This window comes from Homo sapiens, chromosome 10, assembly GCF_000001405.40.
Source record: "Homo sapiens chromosome 10, GRCh38.p14 Primary Assembly".
Lineage (NCBI taxonomy): Eukaryota > Metazoa > Chordata > Mammalia > Primates > Hominidae > Homo > Homo sapiens.
Genome location: NC_000010.11, coordinates 25047508 through 25066116, shown reverse-complemented (window position 1 = coordinate 25066116; position 18609 = coordinate 25047508). Strand labels below are relative to the sequence as shown.

The window sequence follows — 18609 nt, the reverse complement described above, 5'->3', positions numbered from 1 at the left end:
CTTGTTCCTGGTAATGTTTGGCTGAGGTTGTTGCTGCCTGGCAAGGATGTTAAGGAAGAGATTCCTATACAGGGTGGGGACTGAAGAAGATGCCCTGCACATGGGCCTTTCAACTCTAAGAATCTATGAGCTTCCACTTTCAGGCACCCTTACAACCCCAGGGAAGGAGCGTGCTGGAGAATCTTCTGGAGTCATGACTCCATCTCCCCACGGGTGGGTCAAACTTTCTCTGAGGGTTAGGTCTGTACATTAGGATCAATTCCAACATCAAGTTCAGTAGCCTCTTCCTGTGGAGAGTAGAGTAGGGACTTGTGGATGGAACTCAAGGGCAGAGAGCAGAACAAGGGCCTAGGGATCAAATTTCTTCCAGGACTAAGAAGACACAGATGCAAAACTAGGGGCAGTTGAGATTTCAAGCAGAAGTACAGTTTTCCTGTGGAATTTGTTTCCTCCTTACTACCTGTATTAGTCTGTTTCTGTGTTACTATGAAGAAATATCTGAGATGGGGTAATTTATAAAGAAAAGAGGTTTAATTGGCTCACGGTCCTGCAGGCTGCACAGGAAGCATAACAGCTTCTGCTTCTGGGAAGGCCTCAGGAAGCTTCCAATAATGGTGGAAGGCAAAGGAGGAGTAAGTGTCCTACATGGAGGGAGCAGGAGTGAGAGAGGTGGGAGGGGCCACACACTTTAAGATCACCAAATCTCACGAGAACTCACTCACTGTTGCAAGGACAGTACCAAGGAGGATGGTGCTAAAGCATTCATGACAAATTCACCCCATGAGCCAGTCACCTCCCACCAGGCCCAAACTTCAACACTGGGGATTACAATTCAACATGAGATTTGGGTGGGGACACAGATGCAAACCACATCACCGCCTCCTATACAAATCCCCAGCCCCAGACAGAGAGGAAGTCAGTGTAAAACGATTCTTACTTGAAGAATGAAAGGGCCAGGCACGGTGGCTAATGGCTGTAATCCCAGCACTTTCGGAGGCCGAGGCGGATGGATCACCTGAGGTCAGGAGTTCAAGGCCAAATGGTAAAACCCCATCTCTACTAAAAATACAAAAATTAGCCAGGTGTGGTGACAGCTGCCAGTAATCCCAGCTACTTGGGAGGCTGAGTCATGAGAATTGCTTGAACTCGGGAGGCAGAGGTTGCAGTGAGCCATGATTGCACCACTGCACACCAGCCTGGGTGACAGAGTGAGACACTGTCTCAAAAAGTAAAATAAAATAAAAATAAATCAAATATAATGGTAGCCTTCAGTGATTTTTTAAAAAAAAAAAAGTCCCTTCTTTGGAGCTCTGTTTCTTTGGTCATCCTCTCTTTATCCTGGCAAAATTTTACCCTTCCCTCCTTCTTTGGGAGTTAGGAGAGGTTGCAACCAGTTATCTGGGCCACTCCTTCTATTTCTCTCCCTATGACAGCCTAGTCTAGTCCCTGTAGCCTAGTCTAGTCCCTGTAGCCTCCTGGCTGAACTACAACAAGAATCTCTTAACCATTCTCTGCCTCTGTTTCATCCTTCCCACTGAGTTTCCTTCATGCCATTCCATCTTGCCCCGTGAATCAACACCTCAATCTGAATTAAGAGCAATGATGGGTGCAGTGGCTCATACCTGTCATCCCAGCACTTTGGGAGGCTGTGCTGGGAGGATCTCTTGAGCCCAGGAGTTCGAGACCAGCCTAGCAACACAGGGAGACCCCTTATCTCTACAAAAATAAAAAATAAAGTTCAAAAAAACTTAAAAATAAAGTGTTCTTAACTGCAAGTACTGATTTTCAGTCAAGCTGTTTCGAACATGAACAAGTTCATATAGAAAGAGCCAGGGAAATGACAAGCAGGAATTTCTTTATTTGAAAACATTGAGTGATTCTCCCCTTGCCACCACAGGTCTACCATTGGTGATTCACATGTTCTCATTTCAGCCATGTTCTCTTTTGGACGAGGCTTTGTGGTCTACAGGAGTGGAGTCTATGTCTTCTACCCCTTTTGAATCCTCCACTTCATTTCTTATAAAGCTGAGCACTGAGACAGGTACTTTATAAAATCTTATTGACACACGCACGGTGGCTGAGGAAATCAGCTACTCTTTCAATGGCGGTGTACCCTTCAAACAATAATCAGTGTTCTTGAAGGCCGGTGACAAGACCACTCCAACCACCAAATATATGGCAAGAATCTTTCTGGGAAGAGCAAATAGATTTTGAGGGGGCTTGAAGATGGAAAACACTCCAGAGTTACAGACTTTGCTCTCAAACCATCTGCGCACGTCCGACCTATTGAGCCGGTGTCACTTGTCCCTTGCAGAGTGTGCCTGCCTCATTCCACAATCTGCCCATGAACATTTAGTGAGTGTCTGTTATTGGCAGCTCCTGGTTAGGTAAAGTGGGAACAAAGATGGACACGGGAGAGCCCCGGTCCTCAAGTAGTCCAAATCTGCTGGCAACTGGGACACATCAGAGCAACTATGACTCAATTTAGTAATTGTCTACAGAGTGTGGTTTTGCACAAAGGGCTTCTCAATTGCAAGGGGGAACAGGAGAAAGTCTCAAAGGGGAGAAAATATTTGAATGGGGCTTTGATGCACAAGGAAGACTAAACCAATACAGATTTGAGGGAGGAGCATTATAAGCACAGGGAATGACAAGTAAAAACACAGGAGCCAGGCATGCTGGCTCACACCTGTGATCCCATTGCTGTGGGAGGCTGAGATGGGAGGATGGCTTGAAGTCAGGAGTTTGAGACCAGCCTAGGCAACATAGTGAGACCGCATCTCTACAAAAAATTTTTTAAGTACTTAGTCAGGCATGGTGAACACACCTGTAGTTCCAGCTATTCAGGAGGCTGAGGCAAGAGGATTTCTTGAGTCCAGGAGTTTGAGACTGCAGTGAGCTATGATGATGCCACTACACTCCAGCCTGGGCAGCAGAGTGAGACTCTTAAAAAAAAAAAAGACCAGACACAGTGGCTCATGCCTGTAATCCCAGCACTTTGGGAGGCTGAGGCAGGAAGATCACAAGGTCAGGAGATCGAGACCATTCTGGCCAACGTGGTGAAACCCATCTCTACTAAAATACAAAAAAAATAGCCAGGTGTGGTGGCGCACATCTGTAGTCCCAGCTCCTTGGGAGGCTGAGCCAGGAGAATAGCTTGAACCCGGGAGGCGGAGGTTGCAGTGAGCCAAGATTGCGCCACTGCACTCCAGCCTGGGCAACAGAGCAAGACTCCATCTGAAAAAAAAAAAAAACAAAAAAAAAAACCACAAAAAAACACAGAGGAGTGAGAAGCAAGTGCCTGTGGTGCAGGGGTGGAGCATGCAGTGGGAAGGGGAGGGAGGTGATGTGCAGGGGGATTTCCTTTCCTGGCCCTGCCTTTCCTGTCATTTTCGGGCAGCCCAGGTGACCAGGCCCTCTTCCACCACTGTGTGAGTCACCACCTATCTCCTCCACCCAGGCCTGAGTGTGGCTGATCAAGGTACGTGCTGTTACTAACACGTTCCTCCGAACACAGCGTCAACAATTAGTAATGAATGAGGCCAGACCCGCTGTGTCACCAGCTGCCGGAAAGCCAGCTCCAGAGGTGCCATCAGCCCAGCTCATGGCCAGGGCTTCCTTCCCAGCCATGCCTGCAGACAGGCTCCTGCTCCAGGAAATAGGACCACATTCTTAGGAGGGACACACAGAGGGGAAAAACAGAAAGAAAAACTGCAGGAGGAGGCTGACCCGAGGCTGCCCAGACAGGGAGTGGCTGTGAAAAAGTCCAAGGTTTTCCTCAAACATTCCACAATCGTCTATAGACACTGAAAAGCAGGCATGTTTAACTTTTTCTCTCCCTTAAGAGAGGAACACTGGTGGAAAAGTGACAAGAGAGCAACAAGTCCTACTTGCTCAAGAAGAGAATGACTCAATACGCAGGATTAGGCTTATAGGTAAGCAAGGAAGGAGTCGCTCCAAACAATGTCATGTGTGGGGTTCCAGGGAAATTTCTGTACAAAACCACATTAAATATGAGGTCATCAAGCTGTTAGAAATGTCGAGATCCTGCTTTTAGACTGTGTAAAGTGACTAGTAAATGGCAGTTAGCTAGTAGTCGTTATCGTTACGTTATTTCTCTGTGCAAATACCCCCAAGAGTCTCAGCCAGTTGCACACTTTTGCAGTCTGACTCAGCAAATACATATTGGGTGCCTTCCATGTGCCAGTAACTATCCTACATATAAAGAACATAGCAGTGAATCGCTGGGGTTTCTAACGCAGTCATTGATGATGCAGCAGTCACGCCTCAGACTAACTTCTCAGACTGAAGAGACAGAGATGAAGGGAGAGAAGAATGTGCAGGCCTAGGTCTGGGGAAGGTGGGAAGTGCCTCCAGCTGCTGGAAGTCACCCACTACTGGGATGTCAGGTGGAGAAGGGCAGCTTGTAGGTTGGAGAGAGATGAAGAAAGGGGTTGTTGGAAAATCTGAAGAGAAACATGTTGATTTTCCGATTTTGTTTGAGACTGGGTTTAGCCATAGCCAGCATTTGGAAAATCACCTAGCTGCTCTGGTTATCCTGCTCAAAGGAAAAGTCACCCAAAGCTTGTAGATCACCAAAGTTTTTTCCTTTTTTTCCTGAAAATAGAAATGGTGGTGGCGGGGGAGAACAGTAGGCTCAGGCAATGAGGAGCAGAAGGAGGAAGAGATTCAGTTTGTGTTGGGAGGTTCCACCTTGCCATCTGTGCACTGTTACTCCTCCTTCCAGAGCCCATGAAGCAAAATGGAACAGAAGGAGCTGCACCCAACAGAGCAGGCGGCTGGAGGAGCGGCACAAGAAAGCCTGGGATAAAGTTGATTTTCCATATCTGGATGTGTCTGGCAGCATCAACCATATAGCTGCAAACCAGGGTCGATTTCAAAGCCCAGGGCCTGGCCACACGTGTCCAACACCTATGAACTTCTTATGGAGATTGTTCACCACGGAGCATGAAGACAGAGCGGGTGACTGGAGGTGGCTCCCCAGGTAATACTGACATTCTTGTGTTCACAGGTTTTGCATCTGGGCAGCCAGCCTAATAGGGGGCCTTAGAGATATCCTTGTCTCATCTAAAGAAACATAAGGGCCAGGCCCAGTGGCTCTTGCCTGTAGTCCCAACACTTTGGGAGGCTGAGGTGGGAGGATCACTTAAGATCAGAAGTTCAAGACCAGCCTGGGAAACATGGTGAGATCTTGTCTCTAAAAAAAAAAAAACTTTTTAAATTAGCTGAACATAGTGGCACACACCTGTAGTCCTAGCTACTCAGGAGGCTGAGGCAGGAGGATCACTTGAGCCTAGGAGTTTGAGGCTGCAGTGAGCTATGATTGTGCCACTGCAGTCAAGCCTGGGCAACAGAGTAAGACCCTGTCTCTAAAAAAACAAAAACACGTGGGTTTTACATCATCTTTCCCTAGCACTGCTTGGGTGGGGTCTACCCTGCCAACAGAGTGAAGTCTCTAGCATTCAATTTAGGTTCAAGCCCCATTCAAACTTTATAATTGAAGATGACAGAAACTGGAAAAGTTCCCTCTTGGAAAACGGCATCGTATTTTCGGTGTATTTATGCTTATGTGGAGAGTATGTGGGGAGAGGATAATGTACTTCTTCAGTTTATTTGTAACTAAGGGACTTTCAAGTATTATTTTTCTTCAATAGACTTTACCTGTTGAGGATGAGAACTGTGTTTTCTGCTGCGGATCTATTTGAGAAATTAGAGCAGTGTGGACCAATTTCTGGTCATGGTATTCTTTGGCTCCCTGTTGGAGTGTGTGTTATGAGAATGGAGACCAGCATTCCTCCTCCGGAGCCTGTTCCAGCCCAGCCAAATTACCCAGGAGCCTGGCGCCCGGTCTGCTTGCACAACACATTTTTAGAGTCTGAGTCACCCTCGGGTTTTCTTCTTGTTATCACATTGAATTAGACTCCACAGCATCCTATTACCTTGGCCTCTCCTTGTACAGACGTACAGACAGGTCGGCTTCACAGGCTTCCTAAGCACCCCGCCTTCAGGAAGCAGAGAAGCCCAGGCAGATAAAAGGGTTGCATATATTAGACAACCACTCACCTGGGACAGCCAGGGATTAGGAACAGGGATTATCACTCATTATCACTCCCAACCCCACAGAACGCACACAAGGCTGCCCGAGGCAAAATGGTGAACCAACTCCAATTCATCCAGGGTTTTTTAGCCTCTCCTTATGTCAATACCAGCTGGCATAGCCTCCTTCCATCCCCACTAAAATGTAATTTCTTTCCTTCTTTTTTTTTTTGTTAAGAGACTGGTCTTGCACTGTCACCCAGGCTGGAATGCAGTGGCACTATCATAGCTCATTGCAGTTTCAAACTCCTGGGTTGTTCAAGCAATTTTCTCACCTTGGCCTCCCAAAGTTCCAGGCTTACAGGCGTGAGCCACCATGCCTGGCCCTAAAATGTAATTTCATGCAACAAGTGCTTGTTAGCATTTTTTGGGGGGTGCCCAGTGGGGGTACCAGGCACTGGTCTGTGTGCTGGAGCTATGGTAATGAATGAAATAGATGGGTGGGTCTGCTCCCTCATGGAGGTGTTGAAAGCTGCCTTGATGTTTGTTACTTTACCATATGAATTTTTTTATGTTATATACAGATCTCCATACATAGTATAATACTATACTAAGAAAATTAGGACAAGGCTGGGTGCAGTGGCTCACGCCTGTAATCCCAGCACTTTGGGAGGCTGAGGCGGGTGGATCACCTGAGGTCAGGAGTTGGAGACTAGCATGGAAGATATGGTGAAACCCTGTCTCTACTAAAAATGCAAAAATTAGATGGGTGTGGTGGCGGGCACCTGTAATCCCAGCTACTTGGAGGCTGAGGCAAGAGAATCGCTTGAACCTGGGAGGCAGAGGTTGCAGTGACCAGAGATTGCGCCATTGCACTCCAGCCTGGATGACTAAGCGAGACTCCTTCTCAAAAAAAAAAAAAAAAAAGAAAGAAAAAGAATATTAGGGCAAAACAAACATCAATGAAGTGCCCTCTTAGATAGAAAATTAGACTACAAAGGGGAAAACTACAATCTGAAGGTTGGGTGGGTGGGGAGGGAAGTGAGCACCTGCTTCTTGGAGGAATGGGTTTGTATCTGAGTTTCAGGTGGGCCCTGGGTCTCCCCCTCCTTACTTTTTTTTTTTTTTTAAGATGGAGTCTCACTCCGTCACCTAGGTTGGAGTGCAGTGGCACAATTTCAGCTCACTGCAACCTCTACCTCCTGTGTTCAAGCGATTCTCCTGCCTCAGCCTCCCGAGTAGCTGGGACTACAGGCATGAGCCACTACACCTGGCTAATTTTTGTATTGTTAGTAGAGACAGGGTTTCACCATGTTGGCCAGGCTGGTCTCGAACTCCTGACCTCAGGTGATCAGCTCGCCTACGCCTCCCAAAGTGCTGGGATTACAGGCATGAGCCACTGCACCTGGCCTCCCCCTCCTTACTAATTGGCCAGCTATAGGTCTCTCTCTTGTTGGCTATCTCTGTGTCATGAATAAGCGCTCTCATTTCTAATCAGTATGGGATAGATCAAGGGTGAGAACCAATTTTTGCTCTATTTAAAATTGAATGAGTCTGGTCCCAACGACTCATGCCTGTAATTCCAGTGCTTTGACAGTCCAAGGCAGAAGGATCGCTTGAGGCCAGGAATTTGACACCAGTTTGAAAATCATAGTGAGACCCCCATATCTACAGAAAATTGAAAATTTAGTGAGCATAGTGGTGCATGCCTGTAGTCCCAGCTACTCGGGTGGCTGAGGCAGGAGGATCACTTGAACCCAGGAGTTCAAAGCTGCAGTGAGCTGTGATCATACCACTGTACTCCAGCATGGGTGACAGAGTGAGACTCTGTCTCAAACCAAGCCAAAACAACAACAACAAAAACACCAAAAATTGAGTGATAGAGGACAAGTAGAGGGAGGAAGGTGACAATAGCCATAAGACCTTCCTGAACCAGGAAGGAAACAGATTACTCGTGGACTCTGGGCACGAAGCGTTTCAGCTGACAGGGGCTTTCTTCCTATCAACCTCACTCACCTCCGTCCACTCTTGGGGTTTGGCATTACTGAGGCTAACAGAAGAGAGGCTTTTGTGATGTAACCTAAGACACTGTTTTATCATGATGTTATTTTATATATATATAAAATTACTTTTGCACCACCATGCCTACATATTTATATATGTAAACACTAGGTAAAGTTTGCATTCTGAGATTTCCAGTGACCTGAAATAAATACCTAACTGCCCTTTCTCCAAGATTCCCTGGGCAGGGTCACTCAAACACAGGTGCAGGCTGCCTCTTAAACAAAAAATGCTGGTCAAAAGGGCAAGAGGAAGGGGAAACTAAAATTCAGCTACCAACACTATTGGGAGGCAATGCCCTTTTCTGTATGTGCTTGATTGTTGAGTAAGACCATTTCCTTATCCCACAGAGGTAGTGGTACAAGGGTGATAATTTTGATATGGCAGACTTAGCAGCAGCAGCCTGATACTGACTTTTCCAGAACCTAGGAGTCTGGAAACATTATGGAGCCAATTAATTCATTGAATAAAATGTTATCACTTTTCAATAATGGGTCACCAAGCTAATACTAGTGTCCTTAATCTTCCCAGCATTCATAGACAAGAACTGAAGAGCGATTTAAGGGCATTGTGTGTGTGTGTGTGTGTGTGTGTGTGTGTGTGTGTGTGTGTGTGTGTACCAAAGTGCAGAGGGTTAAGCTGATTACATATCTTAGTCCCTCACAGAGTGTTAGCTGTAAACTATACAAGGCATCACTGTTTTTTTATTTCTTCTATCTCATTACTTCACTCCCATTCCCCTTCCCTTTCCAGGCAGCCATTCTGATGACTTTAGTTTGTATCTTTGTGGATGCATACCATCTTGCAAAAATATGTATTACTTTGGACAAATCGATTCTAAATGTACATACATTTTGTATTATATAGCTCATTTTCTTTTTACTTTTTCTCACCAACTATTATTACTTGAGTCTTTAGAGGAGGAGGGATTTATTTCCAAGTAAAATGTGTCTTTCTGATCTTGGAGAAGAATGCTTTGACAGCGACTTTGATCTGGAGAGCGATGAGACCAGTCCTGCTCTAGCTATGACATCTGTCTGCAGACATGTGCTCAGTAGGTATTGATTCCAGAACCTACCTGGATCACTTCCATAATGGCCACTCTTGGCAACGTCCTAGCTGCAGGTGCCTGTCTCATTTAGACCAGGTCCTAGTGTTAAGTTTTGAGTTTTCAGCACTTTGCCATTAATAAACAGAACAAATAGCCTCTCTATATTGACACCCCAATGATATGACACAGGCCACTAGTCTCTGGTGATGCCAGTTACTTCCTAAAAGTACATTAGGCACTAACGTTTCAGTATGTCTTGCAGTCTTTTACTCTTGTTTTTATTAGAAGTCTAGCCCTTCCAAAAATTGACTGCTGGCTTTCCAGGTATATTTCCCTTGAAATAACACCCATCAATCACCTTATCTTCATACCTACTTACAATTTCTAAACGCTAAGTACGTTCTCCCAACTCGAGACTTAACAACTGTATGTTCTCTTTACCAAATGATTCCATAGTGATACCTGATGAAGTTCTACCTTTTTAAAGCCTTCTCAAATCCCTAATTTTCCCAAAATATGAATGCGTCTTCCCCCATTCTCATAAGAGATGTTCCTAGTCCCTCTATAGAAATTTGCATGACTGACCTGCATTGGAATTGATTCTGCGTGTGCTGTTACCTTCCCATTGAGCTGAGAACTTCTGGGGTATGAGGCAGGTATTGTCATCTCTGTATACAGCCTATAGTTCATGGCATATGAGTGACATAAGTGCTTCACAAAGGCACTGCTCATTGCAGAGCATGGGCTTTGATTTCCAACAGACCTGGATTCAAATTCCGACTCTATCACTAACAGGGTGAACTCAGGCTAGCTGATTAACCTTCCTGAGCCTCAGTTTTCTCATTTGTAAAGTGGAGATAACAATATCTTGAAGGAGATAAAGACAGTCAGGAATACAGTAGATACTCCAAATGGCCCTTATAATGACAATGATGGTGATGATCATGACAATGATAATGGTGCAACATTCTTACCAACTTCTAAGTTATAAGCAATACAGTGCAACCCATGCCAGCAGAAAACAACGACTGCAGAAGAATTTCATAGCCTTCTTCATACCTGGCAGGCTGGAGTTGCATCAGTTGCTGGCTTGAATTCCTCTAATGGAAAAGTAGATATTTGGTTGATGCTGCAGGGATAAACAGATGCATCATACCGTTTTGAGGGTCTTCAGTAAAAGTGTAAAGAGCAGCTGAAAAGATACACAACGGAGCTTCACCATGTCCTTCAGCCATCACTCATAAAGGAATAGAAGGTATCCCAAATTTTAAAAATCGAAGATAATTTTTTGATCATTGCCATTTCTGTAGAATCTTCTGACTGTTGAAGTTATCATTCCAACGTAGACCAAATTTAGAGAGTCATCTGATGGGCAGTCCCTTTTTTTTTTTTTTTTTTTTTTGCCAATTTGTTTCATCCCTGAATGATGTATGAGAATTTCATGTCTGTGGAGAGAGATTATACTACAGGGAAGCAACTTGGCATGTTTGGGAAGTGTAGGCCTTTCACAGAGCATTGGGTTAAGGCTATGCCTATGCCCAGAATGCAGGCCTTTAGCCAGGAGGGAAGGTGCATAATACCAGTGAAGGCTGAAAACTAGGACCTTTTTTTTTTTTTAGAAGTGGCCTGTATGGTAAATCACCCCTTATTTCTTCTCCCTGCTCAACTTTTGCATGCAAGCAAAATCAATGTAAAATAAACTTGACACTTCGCATTTAAATTGAAATGAAGTCACAAGAGGGCAAGGAGAGAGGAGTGAGAAGGAAGGGCCATCCCTGATTCTTGGTGATTTTAGTGGGGGGAAATGGTGGCATAATTGTAGGATATTTTAACAGAATGACCACAGAAGTTGGAATTAAAAGATTTAGATGTGAGTTCTGGCTCCTTCACTTAATAGCCAAGGATCTTGAGATATTTACTTATCAATCAGAACCTCTCTTCCTCACCTCAAAAATGGAGAAAAAGAATAACCCAGCCAGGTGCAGTGGCTCACGCCTGTAATCTCAACACTTGGGGAAACCAAGGCAGGCAGATCTCTTGAGCTCAGGAGTTCGAGATCTGTTTGGCAATATGGCAAGACCCTGTCTCTACAAAAACACAAAAACTAGCCAGGCTTTGTGGCATGCACCTATGGTCCCAGCTATGAGGGGGGCTGAGGTGGGACCTGAGTCTAGTAGGTCGAGGCTGCAGTGAGCCATGATTGCACCACTGCACTCCAGCCTGGGTGACAGAGTGAGACCCTGTCTCAGAAAAAAAAAAAAAAATTAATCGCCCACATCATAGAAATGCTATGGAATTAAATGAGGTGAGAAATAAGAGAGCACCTTCTGTATGAAAAAGCACAAAAAGAAGAAAGAAAGGAAGAAAGAAAAGAAAGAAGGAAGAAAGAAAGAAAGAAAGGAAAGAAAGAAAGAAAGGAAAGAAAGAAAGAAAGGAAAGAAAGAAAGAAAGAAAGAAAGAAAGAAAGAAAGAAAGAAAGAAAGAAAGAAAAGAGAAAAAACACCATTCTATTTATTTGTTTATTTGAGACGGAGTTTCACTCTTGTTGCCCAAGCTGTAATGCAATGGCGTGATCTCCGCTCACTGCAACCTCCGCCTCATGGGTTCAAGTGATTCTCCTGCCTCAGCCTCCTAAATAGCTGAGATTACAGGCATCCACCACCACGCCCAGCTAATTTTTTGTATTTTTAGTAGAGATGGGGTTTTACCATGTTGGCCAGGCTGGTCTCAAACTCCTGACCTCAAGTGATCCGCCCACCTCAGCCTCCCAAAGTGTTGGGATTATAGGCGTGCGCCACCATGCCCGGCCAGCACCATTCAATTTAAAGCAAGTTTTTATCCCCAACCTTTCTACAATGAGCATGCATTACGTTTGCAGTCAGGAAAAGTTATATTCAGAAATTAATATATGTGTGGCTTGGAGTTACCCAACCAGTAGTGACAATATAAAGGAATGCAGAATGATAAACACCGATGTCAGGAGATGACCACTGGTGTAAGAAAGCGGCTGAGATTGAGAAGGATGCTTGGGGGCTCCAACCATATTAGTGAAGTTTACTTTCTTAAGCTGGGTGGTAGGTGCATGAGTATTTTTTAAAAAATATTTTTATGCCTTTTCATGTGTCTTAAATATTTTATCATAAATTTAAAAAAAATCAGTGCTGGGTAAAAAGATGTATGTATAAGAATGCTCATTGCAGGGTTATTTACAGCATTCGAAATATTTCAAACTACCTGAGTGACCAAGAACAGAAAATTAATTGAATAAATTATGGTGCAGTAAAAAACCCGAAGGTAATATTGTTAATATTACTATTATTGTCCTATGAACCTGAAGTCACCTACTTTCATTGAGCTAGCTGCTGCATCTAACTATTTATAATAGAAAATTAGTGCCCACAGAAAGACAAATAGGGCAGGGCCTGACTTATATGCAGAATCTAAAACAGTGAACTCCTAGGAGCAGAGTAGAATAATGATTACCGGAGGCTGGGAAGTGGGGGAAATGGGGAGATATTAGTCAAAGGGTGCAGTTTCAGTTAGACAGGAGGAATACGTTTTTTGAGATCGATTGCATAGCTTGGAGACTATAGTTAATAACAATGTATTATATACTTCATTTGCTAAGAGAGTAAATTTCAAATGTTCTCACCACAAAAAGGGATAAGTATTTGGAGTGATGGATATGTTAATTCGCTTGATTTTACCATTCCACCTTGTATACACATATTGTAATGTCACTTTGTGCTGCATAAATATATACAATTATAATGTCGGTTTACAATAAAATTTAAAAAATGAAAAAAGGTGCCTAACTGAAAATTAGTTTCCTCCCATTTTATTTCCTCCAGTCCTTTTTTTTTTTTTTTTAAAGAGACAAGATGGGTGTGGTGGCTCATGCCTGTAATCCCAGCACTTTGGGAGGCCGAGGTGGATGGATCACCTGAGGTCAGGAGTTCAAGACCAGCCCAACCAACATGGTGAAACCCTGTCTCTAGTAAAAATACAAAATTAGCCAGGCATGGTGGCGCATGCCTGTAATCCTAGCTACTCGGGAGGCTGAGGCAGGAAAATCAGTTGAACCCAGGAGGCGGAGCTTGCAGTGAACTGAGATTGCATTCCAGCTTGGGTAACAAGAATGAAATTCCGTCTCAAAAAAAAGAAAAAAGAAAAAAAAGAGAGAGTCTCACTCTGTAACTCAGGCTGGAGTGCAGTGGTGTGATCATAGCTCACTGCAGCCTCGAACTCCTGAGCTCAAAGCAATCCTCCTGCCTCAGCCTCCTGAGTAGCTGAGACTACAGGTTCTCAGAACCACACCCAGCTAAATTTTTTTTAAAAAAATCTGTAGAGATGATGTCTCACTGTGTTTCCCAGGCTGGTCTCAAACTGCTGGCTTCAAGCGATTCTCCCACCTTGGCCTGCGATTACAGGCATGAGCCACTGAGCCCCGCCTCTAGTACTTTCTTAAATCCATGATTAGTGTAAATGTACTTACTAGGTGACTATTCCTGAGGATTTAGAAATGTCAGTCAACATTATATATCTTACCATAATATATAATAATATTTAATACTTAAACAAGAATATGTTAATGAAGGAAAAATTTGAAAGGCCCGAATAAGGCCACCTCTTATCATGATCCATAAAATGCAGCCTTTAGCATACTGACCTCTTTACTTGCCAGACAGCCAGGGCTAGATTTAGGTTTATTTTTGTTTGCTTTGTCTTATCAAATTGCTCAACTAAGGTAATCATTTCTCACTTATTAGACTCTCCCACAGATATTATACAGTGAGAGACCCAGCCTGTCCCTCCTGTTGGTACATTCTACCCAAGAATTCTAAGGAACATAACTTTCTAGTTAATGATAAATGACAATGGACTTTCTGCTCTATTCTTTGGTGCTTAAATTGTTATTTTTGCTGCCTAATGTGAATTTTTTTCTATTAAAACAATTGAAAATAACATTATTTTATAAATGTATATGTTGCTGATGCAGATATGGCTACAAGCCACTAGGTATCCTAGCTGTGAATTGCAGAATCATTTCAGAGGAACAGGGGACAGGCTCTAAGCAGAATGACGACCTAGTAGGGACAATGGATTTGTGGTCATTAGCCTCTGTACTCCTCGTTCTGCCTTGATTGCTTCCATGGCTTGGTGACTTCTCTCTCGAACCTTCAGAGAAAGGACCTGATATAGTTTGGATATTTGTCCCTGCCCAAATCTCCTCTTGAATTGTAATCCCCAGTACCGGAGGCGGAGCCTTGTGAGAGGTAATTGGGTCATGGGGGTGGATTGCTCATAAATGGTTTAGCACCATCTGCTTGGTGCTGTCCTTGTGATAGGGAGGTCTTGTAAGATCTGGTAGTTTAAAAGTGCGTGGCACCTCTCCTGTCCCTTGCTCCTGCCTTCACAGTGACATGCCTGCTCCGCCTTCACCCTCTGCTATGATTATAAGCTTCCAGAGGCCTTCCCACAAGCTGAGCAGATGCCAGCATCATGCTTCCTGTACAGCCTGCAGAACCATGAGCCAATTAAACCTCTCTTCTTATAAATTACCCAGTCTCAGGTATTTCTTTATAACAATGCAAGAACAGCCTAATAGGGACCCAACACAGCTTTGCAGGAATAGGAACATATGTACTGCTTCTCCAAGGAGGGTTTGCATTTCAAATGTTATCTCAAACTGTAGAAATGCTTATTCTCTATTAATAAACTGGAAGCAAGAAGAGGAGCTATATTTCAGGAGTGGGAAGAACTATAAAACCCTTAAATCATTCATCCTTTGGACAAGACTTGCAACTGCATTCAGTTTTATACGGTCGTTTATGTAGCTTTTGTGTACTGTTTTAAGTGCAGAAACTTGTAAGTTCCAAGGATACATAAAATACATAATTTTCAAAGTCTGTACCTATAAGGCATGCACGGGAAAATAAATCATCAGTAAAAAGTAAGTATGAAGTTTGGAATGAATTAGAAACAAATTTTTTATACCACATTTCATCAGCACAAAGGTGACCCATGTTAATTTTAATAAGACAGTCCTCCTTTACCATAAAATGCCCTTCACCTTTTTTGAAACTTAAGTAGGGTACATATATATTGTTTGATAATCTGACTTAACTCCACTTATTAGTAGGTCTCATAGACATTCCCTTGTTCTTTTTGACAGCATTACCTCCTTTTAAGAAATTCTCCACAAACCGCAGCATCTAATCCTGGGTTTCACTGTCTCCTCTGCACATTCTTATCACCCCAGCTCCTTGTCATTACAATAACATGTTTCTCAGGATGAAACATGATATGGTTTGCCTGAATCCCCACCCAAATCTCAAATGGTAGCTCCCATAGTTCCCACGAGTCGTAGAAGGGACCAGTGGGAGGTAATTGAATCATGGAGCCAGGTCTTTCTCATGCTGTTCTCGTGGTAGTGAATACGTCTCACGAAATCTAACGGTTTTATAAAGGGCAGTTCCCCTGCACATGCTCTCTTGCCTGCCACCATGCAAGACGTGACTTTGCTCCTCCTTTGGCTTCTGCACGATTGTGAGGCCTCCCTAGCCATGTGGAACTGTGAGTCAATTAAATTTCTTTCCTTTACAAATTACCCAGTCTTACGTATGTCTTTATTAGCAGCGTGAGAACAGACTAATACAAAATGGTTTCTCTTACTACTTGATATGGTTTGGATGCTTGTCCCCTCCAAATTTCATGTTGAAATTTGAAATATGATCCCCAGTGGTGGGAGGTGACTGGATCATAAGGGCAGATCCCTTCTGAGTGGTTTGGCACCATCCCCTTGGTGATGAGTGAGTTCTTGCTCAGTTAGTTCACACCAGATCTGGTTGTCTAAAAGCCTGGGACATCCCCCTGCCCTCTTGCTCCTGCTCTCATCATGTGACATGCCTCCTCCCCCTTCACCTTCCACCTTGATTGGAAGCTTCCTGAGGCCCTCACCCCATGCAGATGCTGACACCATGCTGCTTGTACAGCCTGCAGAACCATGAGCCAATTAAACCTCTTTTCCTTATAAATTACCCAGCCTCAGGTATTCCTATATAACAATGCAAAAATGGTCTAATACACTACTGTCTCCCAGAAACTCTTAACTCTTTTTTTTTTTAAATTTTAATTCTTGAAGTCTTTTTTTTTTTTTTTTTTGAGACGGAGTCTCACTCTGTCAGGCTGGAGTGCAGTGGCATGATCTCGACTCACTGCAACATCCGCTTCCCAGGTTCAAGTGATTCTCCTGCCTTGGCCTCCCAAGTAGCTGAGATTACAGGCATGTGCCACCACATCTGGCTAATTTTTGTATTTTTAGTAGAGATGAGGGTTCACCATGTTGGCCAGGCTGGTCTCGAACCCCTGACCTCAGGTGATCTGCCTGCTTCAGCCTCCCAAAGTGCTGGGATTATAGGCATGAGCCACCATGCCTGGCCAAAGTCTTGTTTTGATACAAACATTACTTTTTCTATTTCCCCAACTTAACTAGTAGAATGATGATCTCCTGACATCTGTAACTCAAGTTGACTTTTTTTTACCTTCCATAAGTTTTTATTTACATACCCTTATTGAGATTTCCAAATTCTGTTCACTTATTACCTCCTGAAATTGGCCATTTTGTTTATCACAGTTTCCCCAGTACCTAGCAAAGTGCCTAGCACGTTGTAGGAGAGCAATACTTATCTGAGAGAATGTACCCCTAGAGAACGAAGTAGCACCTAAAATATATTGAGCACCTACTTTGTGCAAAGTACTCTAAGTAATTTACAGTTAACCCTCCCAACAACTTTAGAAGGAAGGATATGTTATCATCTTCAGTTTACAGATGAAAAGTGAAGAGGTTCAATAACATGCTGCCCTGGTCACTCAGCTAGCAAATAGTAGTGATGTGGTTAAAATAAAGGCATCACGACTTCAAAGCCAGCCTTCTTAATCGCTATTCTTTATATACAGCCTCCTAGAAGGCACTGAATGCCTTCTCCTTCCTCTTTCTTTCTGATTTCCATGTCCATTTCCTCCCTTTTCCCCATAACATTGGACATTTCCAAGTTGATCTGTATCTATCTTCAAGAAAAAAAAAATGAAGTTTTATTCTTACCCCAAATCGCTGGGGTAAAGATATAAAAAGACCTCAACTGCAAGAGATTCCAACATCTGAGAATGACTTTGGAAGAATCCCTTGCCTCTCTGGACTCCCAGCACGCCCTGAAACCCCAGCCTGAGCACACCCTTTGCAAAGTCATAAAAGCAGGGCTGAGAACAGCTATCTGAGACCTTGGCTCATGGACTGCATCTCATTTGCTTTGGCTGTTGATTTGGGCCATTGCCTGTGTGGGACTTTGTTTCTCATCAGCAGCTTCTGCTTGGTGTGAACTCCACGACTGGGGCTTGGTTTTCTTTCTGCTGGACTGTGCTTCCCCATGGAGACCTTGATGCGCTAACCCATTACCCGTCCCTTTATAACTCAGAATGCTCAGATTCAGAACTTGGCTTTGCTTTCTACACCTAATGAGACTTACCTGCCCCTTTTATGTTTGTGAACATCTTGGACTTGAACCCATATATCGCCTCCACGCTTCACGGATATAGACCCCTAGTTCTGATCATCTATCATTCCTCTTTTGGCTGCCCCTATAACCCAAGGCTAACATTTTTACCCTAGGTTTTCTTGTTTTCCCACTTATCAATTAGAAGTCCTCAGTGTATTCTCTCGGCTCCTCCCTTGCTTCCACTTCTTACTAATACTCCTTGGCTTACTTCCACCCCATGACCTGCGGTTTTGTGAGAGAACCACATGCAGACTTGGGATTTTCCAAATTTTTCCCACAGACACTCTCCAGAGGAGCCTGGTGAAGCCCTTTTTGATAACAGTATGATCCACTTTTCTCTGTGGTGTAGAGATTAGGGTAAGGAAGGAACAGGACTTGACCTTGAAGAATGCTTCAGAAACTGTATGTGAGGAACGAGGAACCACAAAGATAAAAGGCAGAAACAATGACAATAAAAAAATTGTGACCAAGTGACCATTCTGTGGGAAAGAAGACAAATTAAAATAGATCTAACCAACTCCATTTATGCTTTCTTTTTATGCTATGTATGTATTTTAGGAAAACTGCCAAGACCATCTGTTAAATGTTTATTTCCTTTGTTACTTCTGAGGTGCTAAAAAAGACTATAAAAAGCCTATAATGAGAAGAAAGGGGAAAAGTCGCCTTTAAAATTGTTGGAAAGTGATCAACAAAAGGAAAAGCCAAACTCAAGCTCAAGATCTGGCTTGCTTTTTATAACCAGAATGTTCTAGAACAGGCAAGTCTACCTTATTCATAAAACTATTACCTAGACTTGTGCTTTGTTTCTAATTGTTGATACTGCTTTGTTAAGGCAGAAGAAATGGGGCACTTGGGAGGGAGATGTATTTGTCAATACTTTTCTGA

At 43.5% G+C, this 18609-nt stretch overlaps 1 protein-coding gene across 1 annotated transcript in view, besides 2 other annotated features; it reads left to right on the top strand.

Moving 5' to 3' along the window:
• Nucleotides 3201–4400: an enhancer, noted in NCBI's record as "P300/CBP strongly-dependent group 1 enhancer chr10:25350646-25351845 (GRCh37/hg19 assembly coordinates)". NCBI's record gives its function as "activates an origin of replication core promoter dependent on BRD2, BRD4, P300/CBP, MED14 and CDK7 cofactors, with strong dependence on P300/CBP, by STARR-seq in HCT116 cells {active_cell/tissue: HCT116}" and the evidence as "EXISTENCE:reporter gene assay evidence [ECO:0000049][PMID:35650434]".
• Nucleotides 3790–18609, top strand: part of ENKUR (enkurin, TRPC channel interacting protein) — an 80343-nt gene continuing 65523 nt past the window's right edge. Inside the window, exons 1-2 of the mRNA NM_001270383.2 lie at nucleotides 3790–3935; nucleotides 4748–5005. Of these exons, the coding sequence (NP_001257312.1) occupies nucleotides 4969–5005 (37 nt within the window). The 5' untranslated portion in view covers nucleotides 3790–3935; nucleotides 4748–4968. The remainder of the gene's footprint in view (nucleotides 3936–4747; nucleotides 5006–18609) is intronic.
• Nucleotides 4992–6191: an enhancer, noted in NCBI's record as "BRD4-independent group 4 enhancer chr10:25348855-25350054 (GRCh37/hg19 assembly coordinates)". NCBI's record gives its function as "activates an origin of replication core promoter dependent on BRD2, P300/CBP, MED14 and CDK7 cofactors, and independent of BRD4, by STARR-seq in HCT116 cells {active_cell/tissue: HCT116}" and the evidence as "EXISTENCE:reporter gene assay evidence [ECO:0000049][PMID:35650434]".